Source organism: Homo sapiens, chromosome 4 (genome assembly GCF_000001405.40).
Source record: "Homo sapiens chromosome 4, GRCh38.p14 Primary Assembly".
Classification (NCBI taxonomy): Eukaryota; Metazoa; Chordata; class Mammalia; order Primates; family Hominidae; genus Homo; species Homo sapiens.
This window is the reverse complement of record NC_000004.12, coordinates 57,191,348-57,217,465: the sequence shown is the minus strand read 5'-3', so window position 1 is coordinate 57,217,465 and position 26,118 is coordinate 57,191,348. Positions and strand designations below refer to the sequence as shown.

At 42.1% G+C, this 26,118-nt stretch overlaps 1 long non-coding RNA gene across 1 annotated transcript in view, besides 2 other annotated features; it reads right to left on the bottom strand.

Moving 5' to 3' along the window:
- Positions 1-12,166: 12,166 nt before the first annotated feature.
- Positions 12,167-26,118, bottom strand: part of IGFBP7-AS1 (IGFBP7 antisense RNA 1) — a 95,538-nt gene continuing 81,586 nt past the window's right edge. The window contains exons 3-5 of the long non-coding RNA NR_034081.1: positions 15,646-16,333; positions 12,873-12,988; positions 12,167-12,392 (exon numbers count right to left, since the gene is read on the bottom strand). This is a non-coding gene — a long non-coding RNA (IGFBP7 antisense RNA 1). The remainder of the gene's footprint in view (positions 12,393-12,872; positions 12,989-15,645; positions 16,334-26,118) is intronic.
- Positions 22,402-22,901: an enhancer, noted in NCBI's record as "H3K4me1 hESC enhancer chr4:58060731-58061230 (GRCh37/hg19 assembly coordinates)". NCBI's record gives its function as "activates a minimal SCP1, AML or CMV promoter by ChIP-STARR-seq in naive H9 embryonic stem cells {active_cell/tissue: H9 hESC(naive)}" and the evidence as "EXISTENCE:reporter gene assay evidence [ECO:0000049][PMID:30033119]".
- Positions 22,902-23,403: an enhancer, noted in NCBI's record as "H3K4me1 hESC enhancer chr4:58060229-58060730 (GRCh37/hg19 assembly coordinates)". NCBI's record gives its function as "activates a minimal SCP1, AML or CMV promoter by ChIP-STARR-seq in naive H9 embryonic stem cells {active_cell/tissue: H9 hESC(naive)}" and the evidence as "EXISTENCE:reporter gene assay evidence [ECO:0000049][PMID:30033119]".

The window sequence follows — 26,118 nt, the reverse complement described above, 5'->3', positions numbered from 1 at the left end:
AACTCTGTGGTCTCGGTATAAAATGTTAACAGTATTAAGGCAACTGCTAACCTAAAAGGTATATATTTTGAAAAGAACGAAAGGGAGGGCTAGATTGAGAATAGTGTTAAGAAAAACTAATTGAGATTTTTTTTTTAAATACTGAGGAAAATTCATTGAACTGGCCATTGGATTTTTCTATGGCAGTCTAGCAGTCAACCTGCCCCCTTTCTTGTTTGTTTGTTTGTTTGTTTGTTTGTTTTGAAATAGGGTCTAGCTCTGTAGCCCAGGCTAAAGGGCAGTGGCACAAGCACAGCTTACTGTGGCCTCAAACTCCCAGGCTCAAGCAATCTTTCCACTTTCCCAAGTATCCGGGACCACAGGCAAGCACTAATACACCTAACTAATTTTTTTTTTTTTTTAAGACAGGGTCTCACTATGTTGCACAGGCTGGTCTTGAGCTCCTGGACTCAAGTGAGCCAGGAGTTCCACCTCAGCTTCCCAAAGTGCTGGGATTACAGATGTGAGCCACCACATCCAGCCTGGTTTTGAGGAACACAAACCCCCCTGGGCATACAGGCTTCCCACAGGTTCCCACAGAGGAAGCCAAAGAGTCGTGATCCGTCCTGTCTTCATGACCTGATAGGCAAGGCTGACACATATCAAGCCCTGCCTATCAGATGTTCTCACTCATCTGACTTTGCAGAAGGTGAAGCAAAGACAAAGTCTTGTTTAAATGCATTCATGGCATCAGCATGACCACAGCAGTGGTGTGGCCAGATTCTTGTGTTTCTTGACTCTCTGGTTCATGTTCATTTTCTAGACATGATCTCCCAGCCTCCACTATACCAGCTTCAGAGTCAGAGTTGATCTCTGTTACTTGCAACTGAAAGTATCGTACCTGATGCCCATATGTATGAGATGTCCATGAATGTGAGAGGCCCAGAACAGGGAACATCCTGTGGGAATAAAGTATGTTCCCCCAAAAGCTCATTGTCATTCAAGGTTCTTATTTTATATCTTATAAAATAGGAGAAAGGCATATAGAAAATGAATATTCTTTCTCTTGTATGTTTACTATTGCCACTGTATGTGTGAGGTATTTTTCTACTGGTTTCAACTGGAGTAAGTCCCATAGAGTAACTAGGGAGGTGGAATGATTGGTACCAGGGCAGAATTCTTTTAGAACTCCAGTCCTACAAATGAGCACAAGAGATACCTTTTAAGGCTGAAGGAGGAACATAGTAAGAAATCTAACAGGTGATGCAAAGGCTTGAAACTAGAAGAAATGCAGGCTTTTGCTGCATGGCAGGAAGCTGGACTGGAGCGAAGAGTCTCCGAGGATGAATTCTTCAACTATTGGGACTCCAGAACCTCAAGAGAAAGCAAACTCAGCCACTCCTTATGCCAATGAGTAAAGAAGTTAAGCGTCACTCAGACTGCAAGTAGACCAGATAGCCCGTATTCCAGACAGGAGTCATGGAACCACAGTGAGAAATGCCTTGCGCATTAAGGAAGACTTGCCCAGGAACCAGAGTGACTGTAGAGATGGAAGAGGGCCTAAGCAGGGCCAAAGGAGGTAATCATGGGGCTCATATCTAGAATTAGAAGCTCAGAAATAAGTCCCAGCAAGGCTAACAGAAACTAATAGTCTACCTTGCTTCAAATAATTAATCTGTGCTCTGATAATGCATCTCTAGCTATGTTGCACATTTTCTTCATGTGCATGTATATGGGTGTTTGGGGATTGGTGTTGATTGTTTTTCCCTTTGTTTTCTTCTAAAACATTCCCTTTGTTGAATTAAGAAGGAATCTCTGGGAGAAATACTGTACACAATTTGACCTCCAAATAAATAAAGACTAAGAAGTCTTCCTAAGAGAGATTAAGGAAACCCTGATCATCAGTAATTGCTAACTCTCCAAGCCAGAGAACACAGGTGTGCATACACACACGCACACACACTCACACACACGCACACACACACAAACCATGAGTTCTAGGGCCAGATCAATACTTACTGAAGCGAAACTGGGCTCATGAAAATTGAACTCACAGAAAACCTGAGACATTACCACCAATCCCTAGTGAGCAAAAACTGTCAGTGCCCATGGCTCTTCAAGGACCTGCCTTCAAGTGGTCCATCTTTAAGAACCAGAGAATAGGTTTGACTCTGCAAGACCATAGACTATTTAATAAAGTCCTCAGCTGGGGCCATGGCGTATCCTGGAACATAGGCCCTGGAATCAGCCAGACTAGATTATGACACCCTGCTGAGTGACCTAGGTGAGTCACTTAAACCTGGTGTTGCCATATACGGGTGGTAACACCCACTTTGTAAGGCTGTTTTGAGATTAAATGAGATATTGTCTGTAAAGCCTTTTGCACAGTACTTGGTATATAGTAACTGTTCATAAAAATAAGAAAAACTAAATTAGAATGTAGGTAAATGAAAATAATGAATGAAGCCATTTACTAGGCAAGTCTGGATTTCGATGAGGTTCAGAAAAGATTTCACTTACACTGCTAATCTAATTCCACCAGGAAAACAGCTGGGAAGATGAACTAGGATGGACACACTTTCTAAATATACTTATTTGCGGTTTTTATTTTGAAGAAGCAGAAGTAGCAGCTGCCGCCACCCCCACAACAAGCCAGGCGGTTGACAAGTATTGGTGGAGCCTGCAGAAGGCTCCTGTCAAGGGAACAGTGACTCTCCAAGCCAGTTTCATGTGGGAAATCAGGAGGACAGATTTTCTTATGCGATTTTCTCATTCATTCTAGCTTCTGCTTGGCGAGAAAGAGTACATAAGCTGTTTGTCTCAGATGAATGCTCCACTAGATAAAACACCAAAAGGGGCTTGGGGAAACATAATAAAGTAAGAATTGCCACACTGGCTTAGACCAACTGTCTGACAATAGTACCAAGAGGCATTTTGTAGGAAATAGTTGCAACTTCCTTCATAATCAAGGCCTCACAAGCTTAGAAACAACTCCTAAATGTCCTTAAGTTCCTATTAAAGTGCAATCAACCACAATTTTACTTAAACTTTCCTTGAGTTCTTTTATACTAGCAATTTCAGCTAATACTGTTTGGGGCCATCAGTTTCTTTATTTCACCAACTTTTATTTTTATGTTTTGTTCCTCTTGACTACAACCCAGATTGACTATATAACCTGAAGCAAGTCCCCGAAGTTGGCTCTGCCTTAATATTTCCACTTATAAAATGGAAAAATAGCATCTCCTTAGTAATGTCACAAAGAAAAGAAAAAGATTCCTGGATCTACATTTTTCTCTGCCTTGGGCTCTACAAAGAAAGAAAGAGGCTTAAATCTGAACACTTGAGTTCCATTTTCTGTGCTAATTCATATAAATCCCACAATAATATAACAATGGAATAACGGAACAGCTAAATGCGGGAGGAGAGATGAATAGCAAAAGTCTTGGGATCAGGTTGAATTGTAGGCCATTGAAGTAGCAAAAATGGGTGTCCCCACCCACAAGCAAAAGGTATTAGAACCAGATTGCTCACTTGGATTAAAATATTGCACAATCTATGTGACTTCTACCAAATGGTCACTTACACTTTAAATAAAAGCGTTTAGTGAGAGTAAGAATAAAAACAGCATTTTTTTCCTTTTGAGTTAGAGAAAACCTAAAAATAAGTAGTGCTGTATTATCAAAGGAGGGAAAATCAATAACAGAGTGTGTACATATCTAAACCACCCAGATGACATTGAAATTTGTCAAGAAGTTTTTATTGTTATATATCAAATTAGTTCTAGAGATGGGTTACTTTAATCACTGTTTTATGTCAGATAAGAATGATAATTACAGTGAAGACGTGAAGAGGAGATTTGATACTTTCTATTCAGGAGGAACTATGGAGAGTACAATAATGAAGAAGTTATATGCTAAGCAGGACAGAATGAGAAACTAGATGACATAATGGTCTCTGTCTTTCTCCCTTATTAAAGGTAAAAGAAATTTTTAATAAAGTAACATAGTCACTCCCAGAAAGCTATAATGAGTCCAGTGTGAAACATATGTAACTAAGTCATCTTAGTTCCTTTTGCATTGAATTTTAGAATTTACTGAGAAAATAATGATTAAAAGTAAGTATAATCTAAATAATTTATTATAATCTTATAATGCTCACATTTATTGATGGTGTAAAGAGGCAAAACTTTGCTGCAAGAAGAACATATATTACAGCTAAGGTTGTTCTATTTGTTACAATGCTGAAAAATGTTTTTAATTAAGTGATATTAATATGAGTACAAACAATTCTTTGGGGCTGCTTTTTCTTATAAAGAGGTTTTAAATATTAAATGAAGGAAAATGCAAGTTACCTTAGTTTGTCCATCTTAAAGACGAAAGTTATATGACGTTGTAGCAAAAGAATACAGTGCAAATTAATTAGCTAATTAGATCATTGTCATATCCAGTGTTATGAAAAACAAAGTTTGCCTATGGCCCTGGCCCAAGCCGACCTTTTTTCCATTTTTTTTTAATTTTAGATTTCTCTCTTTCTCTCCCTTCTTTTTTTTCTTTCCCTACCTCATTAAAGTATAATTGACAAATAAAAATTGTATGTATTCAAGGCACACAACACCATGTTTTGATATATGTATACATTGTACCACAATCAAGCTAATTAGCATATTCATCACCTCACATACTTATTATTTTTTGTAGTGAGAATGTTTAAGATCTACTCCCTTAGCAATTTTCAAGTATGCAATGCATATTAACGGTAGTCACCATGTTGTACACTAGTCTCCAGAAATGATTCATTTTCTAGCTGCTGAACCTTCGCACTTTTTGACTGACATCTTCCTATTTCCACCCCAGCCCCTCAGCCCCTGGCAATGACCATTCTATTCCCTGCTTCTGTGAGGTCGATTTTTTGAGATGTCACATATGAGTGAGATCATGCAGTGTTTGTCTTTCTATGCCTGGCTTATTTCATGTAGCGTAATATCCTCCAGATTCATTCGTGTTGTTGCAAATGACAGAACTTTCTTCTTTTTAAGGCTTAATAGTATTCCAGTTTGTACAATATCACATTTTCTTTATCCATTCATCCACTGATGGACATTTAGGGTGATCGCATATCTTGGCTATTGTGAATCATGCTGCAGTGAACACTGGAGTGCGGATACCTCTTCAACATACTGATGTCATTTCCTTCAGGTATAGACCCAGCAGAGGAATTGCTGGATCATACGGCAGTTCTATTTTTAATTTTTTGAGGAAACTCCATACTGTTTCCTATAGCGGCCGCACCTTTTACATCCCCACCAACAGTGTGTAGGGGCTCCCTTTCTCTACGACCTCGTCCACATTCATCTCTTGTCTTTTTTCATGACATGCCTGTTAGAATGGCTATGATCAAAAACTTAAGCCAGGCTTTTTATCTGAAATACCAAGACATTCAAGACAACACAAGAGACTGTCACCAGATTGGGGTGAACAAATGAATGAATCAGAATTAAAGGTGCATGTTGGGGCCTAGCAAATCCCTATTGTTGTGGCCTTGTCAAGACCCGTAACCCCTTTGGGACTCAGTATCCTAATCAGTGAAATGAGGGGGCTTGACCTCTAGAGAGATTTCTAGCACTAAAATCCTATGACACACAATTTTTAATAACTAAAAGAAGCAAACAAATCACTCTGCATCAGAGAAAGGTGCTGACTGGTTGTAGAGACTGGAACTATATCATGAGGTACACCAGAAAGGTCTAAGGCAGCAGTCACCAACTTTTTGGCACCAGGGGCCAGTTTCATGGAAGACAATTTTTCCACAGGAAAGAGGTAAGGGGTATGGTGGGTTTGAGATGACTCAAGCACATTACATTTATTGTGCACTTTTTTTCAACTCACTTGCCACTATAAAGCCTGCCACCAGATGCGGCTGGTCATTTGCCACACATTGATAGGGTTTTGATATGAGTCTGCAAGCAACTGATTTATTGTGGGCAGTCAACCCTCTCTGCTAATGTTTATCTGTATTTGCAGCCACTCCCCAGCGCTAGCATCATCACCTCAGCCCCACCTCAGATCATCAGGCATTAGATTCTCATGAGGAGCACACAACCTAGTTCACAATAGGGTTCATGTTCCTATGAGAATCTAATGCTACCGCTGATCTGACAGGAGGTGGCGCTCAGGCAGTAATGCAAGTGATGGCAAGTGGCTGTAAACATGGACGTAGCTTCTCTCGCTCACCTTCCATTCACCTCCTGCTGTCCTGCCCAGTTCCTAACAAGCCACTGACCAGTACCAGTCCATGGCCCAGGGGTTCAGGGACCCCTGGTCTAAGAAAAGGCCAAGTGTTCTAGAAGTCCTCCCACCTCCCTCCACTGAACTGTCTTCCCCAGGCCCTGGAAAATCCTTAGAGACAATTCCCTAGATCCTCCAGCAAACCAGGTCTCTATGCATAATTCCTTATCAATTCCTTCTTGACTACCTTGACTTCCTTTTCAATCTGTTCTTGACAATAACTGAGTTGACTGTTTGGTTTAGAATACTCATACTGCCTTCTTTCTTCACTCACACAAACACCATGTTACTCTCATTCTTCCATTCATTGTTGATTCATTCCTTCACTAGTCTAGCATTTATTGAGCACCAACTATGGGCAGCTGTCTTTGCTAGGCCTTGATCTTCTCTGACTAAAATGCTGTGTACTGTGAAGCCAATGTGTTGGTTTACATTGGCCAGCAGCAGCATCTCTGGAGTTAGACTGAATGTGTTCAAATCCCAGCTTTCCCATTTGCTGTATTATCTTGAGCAAATGTCTTAACTTCTCTGTGTCTCAGTTTTCTCATTTGTAAAACATAATTCATAGCAGTAACTATTTCGAAGACTTTTTTGGAGAGTCAAATAATTAAATCTTTGTTAAGTGCCTAGAACAGCACCTGATAAGACACAATAAGCACTTGTTAAAGGTTAGTTCTTATGATTATCTCCAAGAATCTGAATCAGTCTGAGATCAGCAGCTCCAAGGCTGAGTTGCTGGTGGCATTTGACACAGTGCCTTCTATTTAAAACATGATATTTCATGGCTGTGGAGTTGTTTGTCCACTTCAAATGGCCACTGGGGAATAGATTTGAGGAGCATTTGTCACTGAGAAGAATTAGTGAAGCAGGCAGAGTTCCTACCTCAGAGAGCTTGGGGCAATGACAGCCACTTTGTCCAAACCTGAGCAGTAGCAAAAGAATGCCAACAGCCCAAAGAAAAGAATCAGACTGGGAACTATTGCCAGGCAATCCCAGGATGACCTGAGGATGTGCTCTAGCCACCCTTGTTGAAGGTACAGAAGTCTGTTGGCCTATTTATTACAACAGAAGCACTTTCTATGCCTACAGATTGACAGTAACAGTAGTAATGGTAATAATTGTCATAGCAACGGTACAGTAGTAGTAATAGCAGCAGCAATGGTAGCAGTTGAAATAATGTGATGGTAGCAAAGGTAGTCAATGGCAGTAGTAAGAGTAATTGTGATAGTGGTAGTAATCCTGGCAGTGGCGATAATAACAGGGCGCTGGTAGCAGCAGGAGTAGTTGCGGGATGGGTGCAGTGGAGTAACAGCTACACTTCTATAGCACCATCCAAAGCACTCTGCATTTATTAACTCCATTCTCACAGCCACCCTAGGAAGTAGGGAGTATTGCATTTTACAATGGCACTTGTAATATTTTAAGTTATTTCAGCTCTGATACCATACTTGGTTATGCTGATTCCAGCAGCATCTCATTAAAATTTTGGTCTTCTCATCTTACATCCTCCTGATCCCACTCACTTGACCCCCTTCTAACTTATGGCAGCTAAAGTAGCCCCACAGCCTCTCCATCCTTGTTGTTTCTGGCAGGAAAGACACTCATTATACAGTGTGAAATTGTGTGCTTTCTTTCAAGAGAAGAGTCACACTTGGCAAGAAAGAATGGGGAAAAGTGCTGCCCACCGATGGTGGGTACTTTATAAAAGTGGCTGGCTGGCATGGGTAGAAGAGAAAAGACGGAAAGGAGACAGTGTCCCTCACCTCTGTCATGGCTGAGGCAGAGTCAATACACATCCCCAGTGCCACCGGAGGCCTGTCTCAACTTTCTGTCATCACCTGCTCATGTCCCTGCTTTCACACATGACTTGTCCTTTCCCATCAATGAATTAAGTATATAGAAAAACCACTTCAGGTCGTAGTCAAGAGTCAGATATGCTTGTGTGCAAATGCCAGCTCCACCACTAATTGCATGGCTCTCTCAGACTCAGTTTCCTCCTCTGTAAAATGAAGGTAATTATCCCATATAATTGTTTTAGAAAATGAGAGAGAAGGAACATCCACACCCCTACCCAGCACTTGGCACACACAACCTTAATAACTATAACCCATTACTATTGCTGTTGTTACTGCCACTGTATTTTTCCTTCAAGCCACTAAACCCATAATTGTTATTAATACATATCCAAACAGTTCTTAAAAAAAATCCTCTAAAATTGTGTTACCCAAATAACTCAAAAAATAAAATTTTAGGTTTACAGTGCAGCCCCCCACTCCTCAAAGATGCTGTATGAGTTTTCTGTGGCTTCTATAACAAATTACCACAAACTTAGTGGATTAAAACATCACAAACTTATGATCTTGCAGCTATAAGTCAGAAGTCTAAGATGGGTTGTCAAGAAACTCTAGAGGAGAAGATGTAACCTTACCCTTTCCAGTTTTAGATGAAGAACGTGTTCCATTGCCCTTCCCACATTCCTTGGCTCATGGCCCCACATCATTGCAATCCCTGCCCATCATCACATCTCCTTCTCTGACTCTCATGTCTCCCTCTCTCCCTTACATCTTTGTGATTACATTGGGCCCACCCAGATAACCCAGGAGAATTTTCCCCTCTCAATATTCTTAACTTATATATCTGCAAAGTCCTTTCCACCATATTAGATAACATATCCACAGGTTCCACGAGTTAGGATGTGGACATCTTTGGAGGACCATCATTCTATCTACCACAGAAGCCATGAAGAAATAGCCATAGAAAAGACTGAGTTGTCTCCACAGAGTTCCCCATTCCTTATTCAGTGTTCATACAGTCATCGCTGATCTTCCAGCCTCCTCTGATTCTCTCTGTTTCCTGACATCTCTGAGGCTCAGTGTCCACATGTGTCATACAGTAATGGCCACACTGCATCTACAGGGCTGTTTGGGGAATAACCAATGTACTTGAGTTATAAAATCCTTAGCAAATTTTAGAATAAAATGCCACATAAAAATGAACGAATAATAATTTAACTGTCTCACAAGTAAATTAATACACTCAAACTGCTCTAAGATCTTTGGATAAAAGACATTCTTCAGACGCCAAGTGTATGTTGGTGTTTTGCCTTTGTGCTCACTTCCAGCCATCTATCAAAAGCACACTTTAGTTCATTTTTCCTTTTTCAGATAAACTATCTAATTTTCTGCCCCTGTGGCTTTCCTGAATGTCTCCTCCCCCAAGCCTTCCAGTGGGAGAAATGTAACTTATTTTCTTCTCTGGGTTTTCTGTGGGTGGGTAGATATGGCCTCTTTGACTAGTCTTTTTCTTTCCCTTTGTTCTCAAACTACAGCTTTTGCTGCCTCTGACTTGGTTTTTGCTGTGTAGCTGTGAGTTTGCCACCTCTCTTTTGAGCTTCATCAAGGGCTGCTGTGGCCTGATATGTAGGTTTCTTTCTAATTTCAGTCTCCAGGGGGAATGAAGTCGATATGGTTGTTCACCTGCTGAGTTAGGAGTTTGCCCTTATACACACACCATAATATTTTATTCTAGTTACAGGGAGCATGCAGCATTTATACTTCCTTGGACTCCCACATGAAAACAGAAGCAGCTACTGTGTGTCCTTCAAAATCCCTCATGCATTGCCTTTGCTGCCTGTGGGTGGGCAGGGATATACAGTCAAGCACACTACAGAAAGAAGGTGCCAATGACTCTATCTTTTGAAGTTGACCTTCTCCCAAAAACCAAGAACTACAGAGAGGCAAACATTTATTCACTTGAAAAAAGGTGCATTTCATTTTCTTAAACATCTAAAAAGACATAACTACATTTAATATACAGCAATGCTCTCTTTATCTCCCTATCAAGAAAAATAGTTGTGTGCATATGTTAGCCACTCTTCTGTTATTATGAAGGAATTTAATATAGGAAAATGGTGACAAAGGTTTTGAAAACACAGGTCAAGTGGAAAATGGCATTACCTAGAAATTGGCAACTGTAGGACGCTGCTGCTATTGTCCCATAGCTGTAGAAGCAAAGAGGTGAATGTGGAGTGATCCAGAGTCGGCAAGCACACGCTTGCTACTGCTGTTGGAACAGAGCTCTGCCATCATATTTGTTATCTATTGCTATTGTATAACAAATCATCTCAAAACTGGCTTAAAATAACACATGCTATCTCACAGTTTCTATGCATCAGAAATCTAGGTGTGAGCTAGCTGGGTCCTTCCTCTGCTTCAGGGCCTCTCATAGGCTTCAGTTAAGGTGTCACTCAGGCTACACTCATCTGAAGGGAAGGATACACTTTCAAGTTCATGTAGTTATTGGTAAGATTCAGCTCCGTGTAGGCTGTTGGACCTCAGTTTCTCACTGGCTGTTGGACAGAGTCTGCCCTCAATTCCTCGCCATGCAGGTCTCACGAACATGGCAGTTTGCATCCTCAGAGCACACAAACCAAAAGGCAAATAGAGAGAGCCTGCCAGCAAGACAGAAGTCACAATCATTTGCAACCTAGTCAGAAAGGTAGCAACCCTCAACATTGCCATATTCTATTGGTTGGCAGCAAGTTACTCAAGCAAAGGGGATTTCACAAGGCCATGAATACCAAGAGGTGAGGATCAGAGGAGGCCATCTCAGAAGGTACTGACCATAGCTGCTGAGCAGGAACCCAGGAGCCCAAGCTCCCAGTGATGATGCTGGAGCCACCACCAATGCTGTTGGAGCCCACGGTACTGCCCGCTGCTGCCACTGTCACAGCCAGCTGAATGGCTTTCCCTTTCTACCACTTTCCAGTCTCCCATGAGTGCTCACCCTCATTGGCAAATGCTAACTGAAGCCCAGTAACCAAGGGAGCAAGGAATGCACTTCTCATGTTTCCAGCAACTTGCAATTCAGAGGAGAGGAAATAAGGATGGGAAAAGGACTAACCATAGACAATAGCTGGCCCAACAGGAAAGGGATGTTTCTACTCATTTCCACATCTCTCTTTTAGACACTTTCCATTCTGCTCATTTAAATCAACTGATGCACCAATGTTATCTGCTCCATGTGTGAGGTCCCACTCATCACCCCTTCACTGGAACACCCCCTTCAACCCTGAGCTTGTTTTCTCAGACTGTCCTCCATGTTCCCATCTTTGCTGCCTCTTTTTCTTTTCACTTCCTTCAAAGCTCAGCTAGCCTATGTTTCCTGCCCTTGATTGCTCAGGGTTCTGATCTTTGTCAAGTAGTACTGCATGATAATGGGAAGCCTTTCAATTGATTCCGTTCAACAAAGTCTCTCATATAGATGCTAGGTCTCAAACATAATGCTGGATGCTAGAGTGCAAAAATGGAAAAGAAGCAATTCCTGCCCTTGAAGAGGATGCAGTTATGCCAGGGACACAGATGTCTATAATACCAAGTGATAAGTGCTACAATTCAGGGACATCCTGACAGATTGATTGACAAACCATACAGATTTGTCCTTAATTGGCTGCATGTTATCTGCACTTTTGGTTCTTGCTGGGGAAAAAAATGCAACCTTGAACTCTCAGCTGTACAATCCTTATCAAACATACTTACAATAAATAATTTATGGAGGTTCTAAAAGATAAGCAGCCCATCCATTTCCTTAGATATTCTACAATTTATTCTTCATGTACACAGATGCAAAATTCAGTTTAAAAAATCTATAAAGAACTGAAACAACATGATCCACAGCCTTGTTTTTACAGCCTTTAGTTTTCAAAGGAACCGCTTTCACTCAGCTGTACTTTGGCGTCTCATCATCTGTCTACAAGGAGTAACATTTAAAAACTACTGAGTGAAATTAGACCTAAACCCAATATAGGAATGTCAAGGGGTTTCTCCCCTATATCACAGCCTTCTCATATTCTAAGGATTCCATAGAGAAGTTCCTTTTAGAGCTCAAACTCAGAAAGAGTTTTCTCAAACAGGTCATTTGTTTTTATTTTATGGATACACCAAAATTTTATAATGAGTTGTGTTTCTATTTTGGCTTTATCTTCCAGAAACTTAGAACCAAATATGCAGTCCTCTTCTAGCAACTGTATGAGAGCAGGTGGTAAGCTTCTATTTTATTGCCCTTGTTTTCCCTTGACTCCAAATCTTCTTTCATCCTTTTGTAGGTATATTGGTAGGATACTCAAATTCTCTGTAAAATGAGAAATTTTATGTTAATTACAAATAGATTATACTAATGCATATATGGTGCTATTTCTTTTTGGCAGGAAGGATCAAGAAAATCAGAGAAAGATGTGATATTTGATCTGAGTCTTGGAAAATGATATTTATCCAGTTTTAGAAGGTTTTTCCATAATATCAGCACTTAAAGGCATAAAAAATTCACATTAGGTTATGCGACCAGATATAAGGGAAGGAGGATATAAGAACTTGTGTGTTAATTTTCCTGTCAATGCCCTATTCATCCCAGTTAGAAGAGTACTTAACCTGTTAAAATGCATCCTAATATTGATGGACACTTAAAGAGTTGCCCTAATAATTGCAGTTTCCACCAGGAGAAAAAATCTTTTTTGATCAAGTAAACTTTCTTCTGTTTATTCGCATTATAAAGTCTTCCCAATCTGCCATAGGTTGGCTAACCTAGAAACTCAGCCACCAATAATGACAATACCTGTCACGGTCCTCTTTCAGAGTGTGGATAGCCAGAATACAACCAGAGATCCTATCTCCCAAAGCCCAGTTCATAGTCTTCTGCTGCTGCAAAACCATCTCCTGGCCCAACAAAGCCTGCAAAAAGGGGAATGAATCTGTGTAAGTAACAGTGCAAAATCTTCAGCATGGCAGTGGCAGATACTGACTCTATTATTTGGTACCTACAAGACATTAAGCAATTCACTTTCCCCTTCCTCGTCTTCATTTTCCTCTTACAATTTGGATGTCTGAGAGCTGATGTCTTTAGTTGATCTCATTATTTTATAATCACACCAGCTGTTTTGACAGTCTGTGATATTCATAGTCATTGATTTTTTTTGGAATCTACAAAACATCTATATACATCACCATAAACTCTCAGTGGCTAGAGATGACTTTAAAAATGAGTAATTTACCACACTTCAGGCAGGAAATTAAGGCTTACAATGTTGAGATATGAATAATTGTAGGCACCTTTCATTACTTTGATTTTTTTCTGGTGAATATTACAATTATTCAGGCAGCTGAAAACATCATGTGAAAATGTCAGTAAATACACTAACAAATCTAGCTCTTAAGTGAGTCCCCACCAAGGTGTTAATGCAAACAGCAATTTGCTGGAATCACATGTGAAAAATATTAGGCTATTTGAGGATTGGGGTGATTTCCAGTCTGCAAAGTGGCCTATTTGAGAAGAAAGAACCATCTCCAGGAAAGAACCGATCAATGGTTTTTTTATTGTTAGTTAATTTCAAGGTTTTTCAGTGTTGCTTTTTATAAATACCAAAGGAGAAAATTTGGGTTAACTCCAATGGCCATTAGCTTTAATGGGAAGCTTTAGGCCAGGATGGAACCCAAAATGAAGAAAATGCCATGGAGGGCCCACACAGAGCATTGGAAACAAAATTTGCCCCTCATCCCTAAGATAGTCTGGTAGGGCCTGAGCATGCATCCTCTGAACACAAGCAAAGCACTGGCCTGGAAAGGCACCGGCGTCAAAGGGGATTCGCAAGACACCAAGTGCTCTGTGTACACGAGCAAGAAGCAGCAAGGCAGCATGGCTCTCCTTGAAAGAGAATGAAAATAAATCCTGTCATGAGAGTCCCAGCCCTCAGATGCATAAATAAACATCACTCTTATAGATCTCACCTAGGACTCAGCCCTGACTTCCTCACCCACCACACACATCACCCCTCCAACTCCAATCACCATTACCTGTACCCTGGCATTGCATTAAACATGCAATTATTTAGCTCCATATAAGCCTAAGACTTCATCTTTCTTAATAGATTTGCATGTGCAGGTTAGGTCTTTCCAGACTATCCTCTGTGCCTGAGATTCATGGGACTTTCACTGAGCAAAGAGCCTTTGGCTAGGCCTTCCGCAATTGTGTTTGGCTGAGACTATGAGTAGTTAGAACATGATCCAGTCATTTATTTTTTAAAAACCAACCTTCAAAAGTTGGTTTAAAAAGTCTAAATTGGGCCAAGCGCGGCGGCTCACACCTGTAATCCCAGCACTTTGGGAAGCCGTGGCGGGTAGATCATCTGAGATCAGGAGTTCAAGACCAGCCTGAACAACATGGTAAAACCCTATCTCTACAAAAATACAAAAATTAGCCGGGCATGATGGTAGGTGCCTGCAATCCCAGGTACTCAGGAGGCTGAGCGGGGAGAATTGCTTGAACCTGGGAGACAGAGGTTGCAGTGAGCCCAGATCGCACCAATGCACTCCAGCCTGGGCGACGGAGCGAGACCCTGTCTCAAAAAAAAAAAAAAAAAGTCTACATTGCTTAATATATAATGAGCTCTTCAGTCAATCAAAAAAAGTGCCAACAATTTTTAGAAGTTGAAATCTATAAAGAAACATTCACTGAAAAAAAAAAGTTTTGTTTTGTATTGTTTTGTTTTGTTTTGAGACAGGGTCTCACTCTGTTGCCCAGGCTGGAGTGCAGTGGTGCCATCACACAGCTCACTGCAGCCTCAACTTCCCAGGCTCAAGCAGTCCTCCCATCTTCAGCCTCCTGAGCAGCTAGCACCACAGCACACACCACCATGCCCAGTTAATGTTTTCATTTTTTCGTAGAGACAAGGTCTCCCTTGTCTAGATTTGTTGCCTAAGTTGGTCTCGAACTCCTGGGCTCAAGCAATCTTCTCACTTCCCAAAGTGCTGGAATTACAGGAGTGAGCCACCACACCTGGTCTACAAGTGTTTTTGAAACATATGGAGGGGTGTTCAAAGTCTCTCTTTTAGTGAAAAAAAAATAGAATAATAAAACATGTTTCTCCATATCAGATTGGGAAAGATTAGAAATATTATGTGGTAAGGCAGAGTTCATGAATTACTGGTGGAAGTATAAATTGTTGTAATTCCATTGTAAGGCAATTAACTAACTATTGAAACTTTAATCCTTTTATATTTTGACCCGTCAGTTTCACATGAAGGAATTTGTTCTTCGAAAATACTCTACTTGTAAGCAAAAATAGGTTGCTAGGGTATTTATTGCAACGTTATTATAATAACAAAAACACGATACACCATAAATGACAACCAATATTTGGAGACCTCTAAATGTCCAAGATTCTGCAGTTATTAAAAGGGATGAGATATATCTCTATGAAAACATGCCCAAGATAGGTGGCTAATTGAAGAAGAGGCTTGACCATGTCATGGGCAACACCTTGTTATTTGCTCCCGTCACAAAGTAAGCACCTCTAGTGCCCAGAACTCTTCAAACAATCAAAGAAACCCACCTTCAGACAGCAGATCAAGGCAATATAGGTAATATCTGGATATTTGATAAGGATTAAAGGGAAAATAAAACTCCTCAGGCAAGCATCTGTCTCTCACTGTTCTCAAATTTTCATCTCACAGTGGTGAAAACATACCAAGGTATAATCTTCCCCAGAAAAAAAAAGTGGCTGCCTATGTTTGCCAGGCCCTAGAATAATGCCTTATATTTATAATAAAAAATAAAGTTCAGCTCCAACTGATGAAATAAAAATAAAAGCCTTTCTTATTAATTGGTTGGTATAAACACACAACAACAAAACACTAATTACCAATAGCTCTACAATAAATTTAAGATACAATTTAAAACAACCAGCTCTCTTTCTACAAAACTCCATCTGTCTTCTCTCACTGCTTAATATAATCTTCCCCACACAACCCCACTCCCACCCTGCTTTAAGAAAAAATTTAACTTTCCTTCACTAAAATTCAGGTATCAAATAGCTTGTCCACAGTTCCCTGGATGCTAGCTTAGGGCAGCAGCTATCAGAGTTCATTGATTTGCTGCTAGCAAATTGGAAGACTTAATGGTGTGACTTCCGCATGTTGCTAGTTGATCAGGTCTCACCGGGGTCTCTCCAAATGGGAAAAGAATTGCTTCCTGCTAATCTCAGGCAGCAGCACCGCGTCCACATCCATTTCCACACTGATCTTAAACAGAAAGAAGACAGAGAAAGATTATGTTTCATTCTCCCACTGCGTCTACATAAAACCCAATTGTCGCCCCTTTCTGATCAGCAAGATGTTACCTTGGCAACTACTTTGTACAGCTCTTATTCGTCTCCCTTTTGGAGCTCATGATTGTGTAAAAGTTATTTTGCCTCCTAATGAGTAAGAGGAGACATTAGCAACCTGACTGCTTCCCTGGTACTTCCAGACAAAGGTTGTAAAACTGGCAGCCCAGGGGCCAAATTAAACACTCAGGCATGTTCAACCCATACAAAATTTTTGGTTTTGTTTCTTGGATTTGGATTTTTTGTAATGTGAGTTAACATTTACAAACCAGAAGATGTAAAATGAAAATGCAAATCTGCAGTTCTTTTTAATAATGTTTAGACCTGAAGTCACTGGGCCCATACTCTTAACAATCAGCTGTTGCTTCATACTGTTCGCTGCCCTCCACTTGGCCCACTCCCCTGGATTAGATTACCTGGGGGGCATCTGGGTTGTGACCCCTGTTCTAGGTAGGATATATGCCCTTTTATAAAAAGTGCTAATATTTAGAACTGAACAAAAGTTGTTTTTAAGCTATCTTAAGCTTTCAGGATGTTTCTTTTTCTCAAAATTCATCAGAACTTCAAACTCACCAAATGTCTTCCCTCATGCACAAGATTTTTCAACATTATCCTTAACTTTCAGCACCATTGCTAATGAAGCTCAGAAACTTTAGACACTTTGAGAGTTTAATCCAGAAAAGGCAAAGCTGAGGAGAGAAACAACCCATGTCTACTGATCAGTTAGAGCGGTGATGAAGTTGGTAGGGACGGCACAAGGCAGTGGTCCTCAAACTTGAGTGTGCATTAGGACCACCTGGAGGGCTTGTCAGATACACAGATCTCTGGATCCGAGATTCTAATTCAGTAGGTCAAGAGTGGGGCCTGAGAATTTTCATGTCTAACAAGTCTCCAGCGAGGCTGATGTTCCTGGTCTGGAAACCGCACTTTGAGAAGCACTGAGATCTTTTTGTATCAAATATATCTGTAAATGCACACTGACCGATATTGTTTGGATATTTGTCCCTGCCCAAATCTCATGTTGAAATGTAATCCCCACTGCTAGCGTTGGGGCCTGGTGGGAGGTGTTTGGATCATGGGGGTGGATCCCTCATGGCTTAGTGCTGTCCGTGCGATAGTGAGTGAGTTTTCAAGAGATCTGGTTGTTTAAAAGTGTGTGGCATCTCCCCCTGCCTCTCTCTCTTTCTGGCTTGCTCCTGCTTTCTCTATGTGAAGTGCCTACTCCTGCTTCACCTTTTGCCACAAGGGAAAGCTTCCTGAGGCCTCCCCAGAAGCAGATGCCAGTGTCATACTTCCTGTACAGCCTGCAGAACCATGAGCCAATTAAATCTCTTTTCTTATAAATTACCCAGTCTCAGGTATTTCTTTATGGCAATGTAAGAACAGCCTAATACAGTGGCCAAACACAATAGAACTTTATTTCCCTTTCACAAAATAGTCCAGTCTGGGCGTGATAGCTCATGCCTGTAATCCTAGCACCTTTGGGAGGCCTAGGCAGAAGGATCACTTGAGCCCAGGAGTACGAGGCTGCAGTAAGCTACGGTCACCCCACTGCATTCCAACCTGGGTGACACAGCAAGAACCTGTCTCTTGAAAAAAAAAAAAAAAATCAAAGCAAGTTTTCTCTCATTCAGTGATTCAGAAAGCCAAGCTTCGAGTTTATGCCCCTACTAACCACTAGAAGGACAATGTAGGGATGAAAGGAGGAAACGTACCAGGAAAGTAGGCTACTTTTTAAAAGCCTTGGCATAGAAGTAGCTTCCACTCACATTTCACTGGTGAGAACAAGTCACATGACCATATCTAGATGCAAAGAGTGTTGAAAAATATAGTCCCTGGATGAGCAGCCACCTCCCAGCAGCAATGCTATGAAAAATGAAAGGGAAAGCTCACATTTTTTTTTTTTTTTTTTGGACAGCTTGCCATCTCCACCTCAGCAGCTATGAATGTGCCTCACTCTTAACTCCACTGATTTTCTTCCCCATTCCCAGAAGGCCCTTCTCTCTTCTCATTGTCCATCCAAACCACAACACCCTCCTGGTTATATTACACCTCTACCAGAATTCTTGGTAAAAAATTTCCAGTCTCTTATGTTGGGATGTAACTGAAATAACTTTCCTCAAGAGTTTGTTGTTTCCTTGAGGATATTTATAATGATCACTATGACTTTAAAGACCAAGAGTTGCTCTTCTCCAGTTAATCAAAAGGAAAAAATGAACTGATTGCATTGTTAAAGTTTGATTAAAGACTTACTATAGTCAAGTACCCCATCAGATTTGTTTACCAAAAAATAACAAATAAATAGACAAAGTAAATAGGTAATAAAAGGTGCCTAAAATAATTAACATCTCAACATTAAAACCTAAGTATCCTCCTGCTATTAACACTTTCTAAAATCGCTTCTAGCTCCTGGGATCTAACGTGAGTAATTGAGGTGATCTGTGGTGATCTAAAATCAATTAAAACTAACAATATGAAAATAATATAAAGAATGATCCATTTACCATTGAAAGCAGTAGGAAACGGACCCAAACTAGCTTAAGCACAAAGGGAACTTATTGTTTCACTTAAGATGAAAAGTCCAGGGGTAGAATACATTTCAGATGTGGCTGAAACCTGAACTCAACCAATGGCATCAGGAGCATTTTTCTACATCTCTTGGCTTCATGTTGTAATGGGATGGCAGCAATGGCTGTAATCCCTACACCCTCCTTTAGGTCCAGCAGATAAAATTAAGAGTTCCTCAACGAGGAAAACATCACTGTGATTCATTAGATCTGACTGGGCCCTATGTTCATCCTTAAACAAATCTTGTAGCCAAGGGGAGCTAATTGTGGGTCTCATGTGTAGAGTCAGTTTCACTTAATTCAAACTTACTATGAGCTGGAGAAGGTGGTTCTCTAGGGAATTGAGATATGGGTACTGTTGGGGTTTGAGAAAGCTCAATGCCCCACCTTAGTTTGGAGCCAGTTGAGAGAAAGACCCAGGAGCCAAGTAGAAAAGCCCTAAAATGTCAGCCTTACAACATGGCTTTAGGTCTGTTAACCAAATGAGCTTGCTTCCTGAATTAGATGGGCCTGCCCCATCACGGACATGCAGTCTCCCATGGGGGCCTGCTCCTGTCATGTATGGCATGGAAGAGCATAGAAAGCTGTTTGCACACTTGTAGGTGACAAAGAGAAAATAGAAAGGGGCTGAGAGTCACATGCTCAGCCACTGCACCCAAACTCACCCATCAAGTAGCTCACGCTTCCTCCCTTGAGGGGAAGGGAAAAGGGGGATACAGGAAACCAAGGAGCTAGGAGTGTTTTCTGAAAAAGTCCCTACACACAAAAATGGAAGACTAGGGAATGTATCCTCCCTGCATGTAACAGAGAAGTAAATGATAACAACAGATGTCAACTACAAGTAGAAAATGAGACTTAACTTTTAAATACAGAGAGTAAAAAATATGCATCCAAATGGTTAGAGTGCTCAACATTTTTAGTTATAAAAAGATATTTCTCTCACCTGCCATGGAGACCCCATAATACCCTAGAGATAATATAGTTCACAGTGGTTGCCATTATCTGATTTAGCATTTTCCTACAGATGAAGGATAAACAAGTGCCTTAGTTCCAGCTGCTATAATAAAGTAGTATAGACTGGGTGACTTATAAAGAACAGAAATTTCCCATATTTCTGGAGGCTGAAAGTCAGCGATCAGGGTGCCAGCATGGTCAGGTGCTGGCGAGGACTCTCTTCCAGGTTGCAAACTGCCAACTTCGTGTTGTATCCTCCCAAGGTGGCAAGCAAATGAGCTAGCTCTCCTGCCTCTTTCTAAAAGGCACTAATTCCATTCATGAGGGTTCTTTCCTCATGACCTAATTACCTCCCAAAGGCCTCACCTCCAAATACCATCACATTAGGGATTCGATTTCAACATATGAATTTGAAAGAGACAAAAACATTCAGTGCGTAATACCAAGTATAAAAGTGGACTTAATTTATGTTTCTGCCCTAGGATGAACTGGGATTGAGTAACCAGAAGAATACAGTTGAAAGTTTAAGAAAGAGACTAAAACAAAATAAAGGGGAAATTCATAACGATCTGGATCCGATTCTAGAATGTAAGCTCCATGAGAACAGGCTCCTTGTCTGCACCACTGTATTTTTCCCCAATGCCTAGAATGGGGCCTCTGGCATGCAGTAGAGATTCAGTAAAATTTGCAGGATGATTTAGGAGGAGAAGTTTTGAAATCAGAAAAAAAAAAATCTTTTGAGGGGTTAGTGGTCACAAAAGAACAGTGTCACTTGGGATTTAAGGTTATAATTTGACCCTAACTAAAATGATCCTACTTCATGCTGGTGAAAGAGAATCTAGTGGCCCTAGAAGAGCTCAAGAACTAGGGGAAGCTGGCACAGTGACTCGGGCCTGTAATCCCAACACTTTGGGAAGCTGAAGTGGCAGGATCGCTTAAGCCCAGGAGTTCGAGACTAGCCTGGGCGACATAGGGAGGCCTCACGTCTGCAAAAAAATAAAAAATAAAAATAAAAATAATTAAAAATTTTAGACAATTAGGAAACCAAAAAATATCTGAAATGAGAAGAGTCTTAGAGATAATTTAATGTAGTAATTCCCAACAAAAAACAGCTGTACATTAGAAACACCGGGGGAGTTATTTTTTGAAGAAAAAACGAGTGAGTTTTAAAAGAAAAAACTGGAGTCAGGTCCAGGTCTAATTCACTTTATCCCCTAGGGTGCCTAACACAGGCCATGTTTTCTGACTAGAAGCAAGTAAAGAACAGAGAACAACGTTCTCAGATGGCTATCACAGGATAAGCCACATCCTGGTCACTTGAGTGTCCCTCGAAGCCCTCTTGGGAAAGGGAGTGGCGGAATGACACCTTCTCGTTAGAGCCAACCTATTTTATCACCATGTTCTCGAAAAAGAGTGTACCAGATGAGTGAGTCTGTCCGCCTCAAACAAGACTCCCTCAAAAATATTCTACAAACCATCACCCAACGAGGATGGTGAAAAATTTTGATTTTGAAACTTCTATCGGACCCAACAGGCCCCCACAGCATCCACATATCCACAGGGGCTGTAGGATGTGCTGCGTCGTGTTCACGGCGATGCACTCAACAGCAACTTCCCTTGGCAGAGACCGAAACCTCTCCCACTCCGCGCCGCGGCATGGTGGACAGATCCCGCCCAAGGAGCTTCTAATGGGACCTCCCAACGTCGCCGCACGCAGAGTTGCGGGGGCGGGCGGGGGACGTCCAAGCAATCCGCCTCCCAGCCGGCTCTCCTAGGACCGCCTGGCCCCAGAAGGAGCCATGCAGTTCTCAGTAGCTCACTCGCCCGGGTGTTACGGGGCCCCGTGAAATGCCTCCGGAATGGGTCTTTCGCAGCTCCCCTTAGGAGGGGACGCCGTGGACTAACAGACACCGCTGTCAGGAAGGCGTTGATGCGGCTTCGCGGCTTACATTTTCTTTTTTTTCTTTTTGGTCTTTGAAATTCCTGTAATTTGTTTGCTATAAAAATTCTTCCTTTCCTAGTAAAATTCATAACCATAGTTTAAACATAATTTAGGACTTTGTCAAATATAATACTTAAACTGGAATGTCTCCCCAAGTAAGAGATTTGTGTTTTTCAAAGGCCTACACAGAACTCTCACTTTTTTTCTTAGTAAATACCAATTTCTTTTATTATTATTATTATTATTATACTTTAAGTTTTAGGGTACATGTGCACAATGTGCATGTTAGTTACATATGTATACATGTGCTAGCTGGTGTGCTGCACCCATTAACTCGTCATTTAACATTAGGTATATCTCCTAAATCTATCCCTCCCCCCTCCCCCCACCCCACAACAGTCCCCAGAGTGTGATGTTCCCCTTCCTGTGTCCATGTGTTCTCATTGTTCAATTCCCACCTATGAGTGAGAATATGCGGTGTTTGGTTTTTCCGCAGTGTCAGCTCGCGGTTCCCAATTACCTCCCCTTAGGCCGCCTGGCGTGCAGGATCACAGCCCAGCCTGCCTCAGCACCTCTCCGCCAGAGGTTCTTCTTACAAACGGCCACTTAAAACACAGCCCCGGCCGGGCGCGGTGGCTCACGCCTGTAATCCCAGCACTTTGGGAGGCCGAGGCGGGTGGATCATGAGGTCAGGAGATCGAGACCATCCTGGCTAACAAGGTGAAACCCCGTCTCTACTAAAAATACAAAAAATTAGCCGGGCGCGGTGGCGGGCGCCTGTAGTCCCAGCTACTCGGGAGGCTGAGGCAGGAGAATGGCGTGAACCCGGGAAGCGGAGCTTGCAGTGAGCCGAGATTGCGCCACTGCAGTCCGCAGTCCGGCCTGGGCGACAGAGCGAGACTCCGTCTCAAAAAAAAAAAAAAAAAAAAAAACACAGCCCCACGCCACCCGGCCTTCCTGGAACTGGAGCCACTCAAGCGGGCCAGCTCCAACCCAGTGACGAGTCCCGGGAGCGGCCCGCTTCCCCACGACCCTCTCTCCGCCTAGCTTGGGCCTCCTGCTGGCTGCGCTGGGGAGCTCCCGCAGGTCACAGCGCGCCACCAGTTCCTTCCCCCTTCTCTGCCTGCCTGGGCTTTGAAATACGGTACGTGTTCCTACTGCGTTTGGGGCACTGCTGATGACAGCAGGGCTCTAGCTACCACGCCAAGGGGTCACGGCATTAATTATTCTCTCTTCTACGGGGAAAAGTGTGAGGGCTGAGCCCCGCAAAGCACATGGAATTGGAGTACAGGCAGCACTAACTCTCCAGGCTGAAAATCATGGTGGGTAGGGAGGTTCTCAATCAATTCCCTCACTCCTCCTGTGCCTTTTAACTAACTTTGAAATTCCTCTGGCTGCTGCTGGTGCCTCCGTGCTGTTTCCAAGGGCTGGAGCCCCACACTGATTTATTTGGTAACCATCGCAGGAATTTCAGAAAATGAGAACTGGAGGAGGAAGCCAGGCCTGAAGTAATTAAGATGATTTGTTACACACGATTCAGGTAGGCACAAAGGGGTACCTGAACACAGACAGAATATAAGATCAAAGAAACGGCAGTCCTGAAAGTGGGAGCTCTTCGCAAAAGAAAAACAGGCCAGCGGAAGGCGCCCAGATCACTGCCAAATTAAAACACCTCGTATTTTTATCTTCTCCCAGAGATAAAACAGAGGGAGATAATTTTTTTTTCACATTTGCTTTCAGCAGTTAACTTTCAGAATAAAAAAGAAATTCAAATGTGTCTGCCATTAGTACAAGTTCATGAGATCACCCTACCCGAAATCATTTGTCAGTGGAAAACAGTGTGCTATTTAAGCCCTAGGAATACAGCTGCAAGAGTGAATATTCCTTAGAAAGTACCTGTTCTTTACAAGCTTGTTAGTGACTCTTGAAACTCATGTATGTGATGGGATCTCATGACCACTGGCATCCCACCAGGTCACGGGATGTGGAGAGTGGGGTTGAAGAGGGGAGGGGCAGTGAATGTGCATCCCCGGCCACCATCCAAAAACACAACATGGTCTTTTGTTGTGCATTTCTCCTTCCCTGCAATGTTGATCCTCAAGAACCAACTGTCTTATTATTTTCCAACACTATTTATGCCTCAGACCTTCTGATATGTTGCCACAATACACTCATTCATCTGTCTTCCCCATTAACTAACTTTATGGCCCAAGTGACCTACAGCTGTCACACTCCTGCTCCTGGCTGATATTTCATCCAGAATTCCTCCTGGGCTCTGGATGTTACACTTGTTTGGGACTATGGTGATGCAAAACAGACCTGGAACTGGAATCCATGACTCTGGCAAAATGAAAACAAGCCTTTTTCATCTTCTTTTTCATCCCCTTTCCATAAGGTGACATCAAGATTCTTTACACTCCTGAAATATCATTCTTACCTCCTATAGAGAAGACTTTACGTGTGAGTAATAGCATTACAGGGTGCTTTTTTTTTTTTAAACAGAGTCTTGCTCTGTCACTCAGGCTGGAGTGAAATAGCACAATCATGGCTTACTGCAGCCTTGAGCTCTTGGGCTCAAGTGATTCTCCTATTTCATCCTCCTAAGTAGCTGTGACTACAAGCATGCACCACCACACTCAGCTAATTTTTTTTTATTTTTTGCTGGGACTGGGTCTCACTATGTTTCCTAGGCTGGTCTCAAACTCCAGGGCTCAAGCAATCCCCTCGCTTGGGCCTCCCAAAGTGCTGGGATTACAGGCATGAGCCACCATGCCTGGCTGGCCTAGAATGAATAGTAAGCTTAGCATTTACAACACACCCAGAAGATCAATACCTTCTGATAACCCATTTTAAAATGGAGAAGCTACTGGTTGGGGAAGGTAAGTAACTTGCCTTGGGTCACATAGCTAGCAAGTCAGGGACAGAGGGATGTCTACTGCCTCTCTGAATAAATACCAGATTTCCTTCCGTGCCTGAGACTGTATTTACCTGTAGCCTCAGAGTTGCTGTGGAGACTAAATTGGCTAAGCAGTTGAGTACCCACTTGGTACTATTTTCATCGAATGAATTTTTGACAGAATTGATTGGCCTAAATGAATGTTGCATTGTCTGGGAGTCCCCTGCACTTTGACAGGGTTTTTTCTTCTAAGAGGCCTCCACCTGGGTGCTGATCTTGCTAAAGCCTCCTAGAGGCCTACACACTGCTGTAGGAAGATGGCAGATGGCAGAGGTACTGACCACAATTATAGAAATAAGCAAAGCAACTTGTGCAGTGGTCTCTAACCCATGATGCGGTCTCATTGCTTTGCTCTGAGCAGAAGGTTCGTTACATTCCTTCTCCCTTCAAACATTTTCAGAAGTTCAAGCATCCCCAACAATTCTGCCATCCTCCAGAAAAACCCCACAGAGCCCATGTTAATTCCTCAGCTCCAAAGGACAGGGACATCACAGGACTTTTCCTTGAACCAAGCTTTAATGCAGTTGTTTCTTGTGGTGGAAAGAGACAGTGTAGACAAAAGGCTGTCTCTCTGCTCTGTCACTATTTCCCAAGCTGCAGCATGCACACAAACTATCTAGGCAGCTTGTTAAAATGCAAATTCTGTTTCAAAAGGGCTGGGGGCCTGAGATTCTGCATTTCTAATAGGCTCCCAGGGGATACTTGTGCTGCTGGTCCTGACACTGTGAGCAGCCAGGGATTATTTGCATGGGTCTCTTTTCCTTGTGAACCCTTTGATGTTGCATTTTGACAAAGAAGTCATGTAGAGACTAAAGGCTGTGGCCTCACCTGCTGCTATGGATAGAAGTAGGGCTTTCCTGTGACAGGAAGAACTTCCCAAAGTCAATCACCAGGAAAAGAGAACTTGAGACCACCCAGGAAGAAAGTGCTTCACCCTCTGCTGAACCAGCACTTCCACAGATGAGGCTTAAGCGGTCTCTTGGCATCAGGAACCCTCCACCTGGCAACATTCCATGAGTCAGACAGGCAGACATATGAGGCCATAAATTGAAGAAAAGTAAACTTTGCCTTGTAACCCTGCCTGTGTGCAGTTCCTTTTGTGGCCAGCCTGGCTCAGCTGTGAATCCAAGGAATTAAAAGGTTCAAGTGTCCCCCACCTTGTTCGCCTGCTTAGAACTGGAGAATTAATAATGAATCAGCTCCCTCTGAAGCCAGCCTTGTAGGACCTGCAGAAATTAGCTAGAGACCTCCAAGGGGACAATAAATCTTGAGGAATAAGAGTT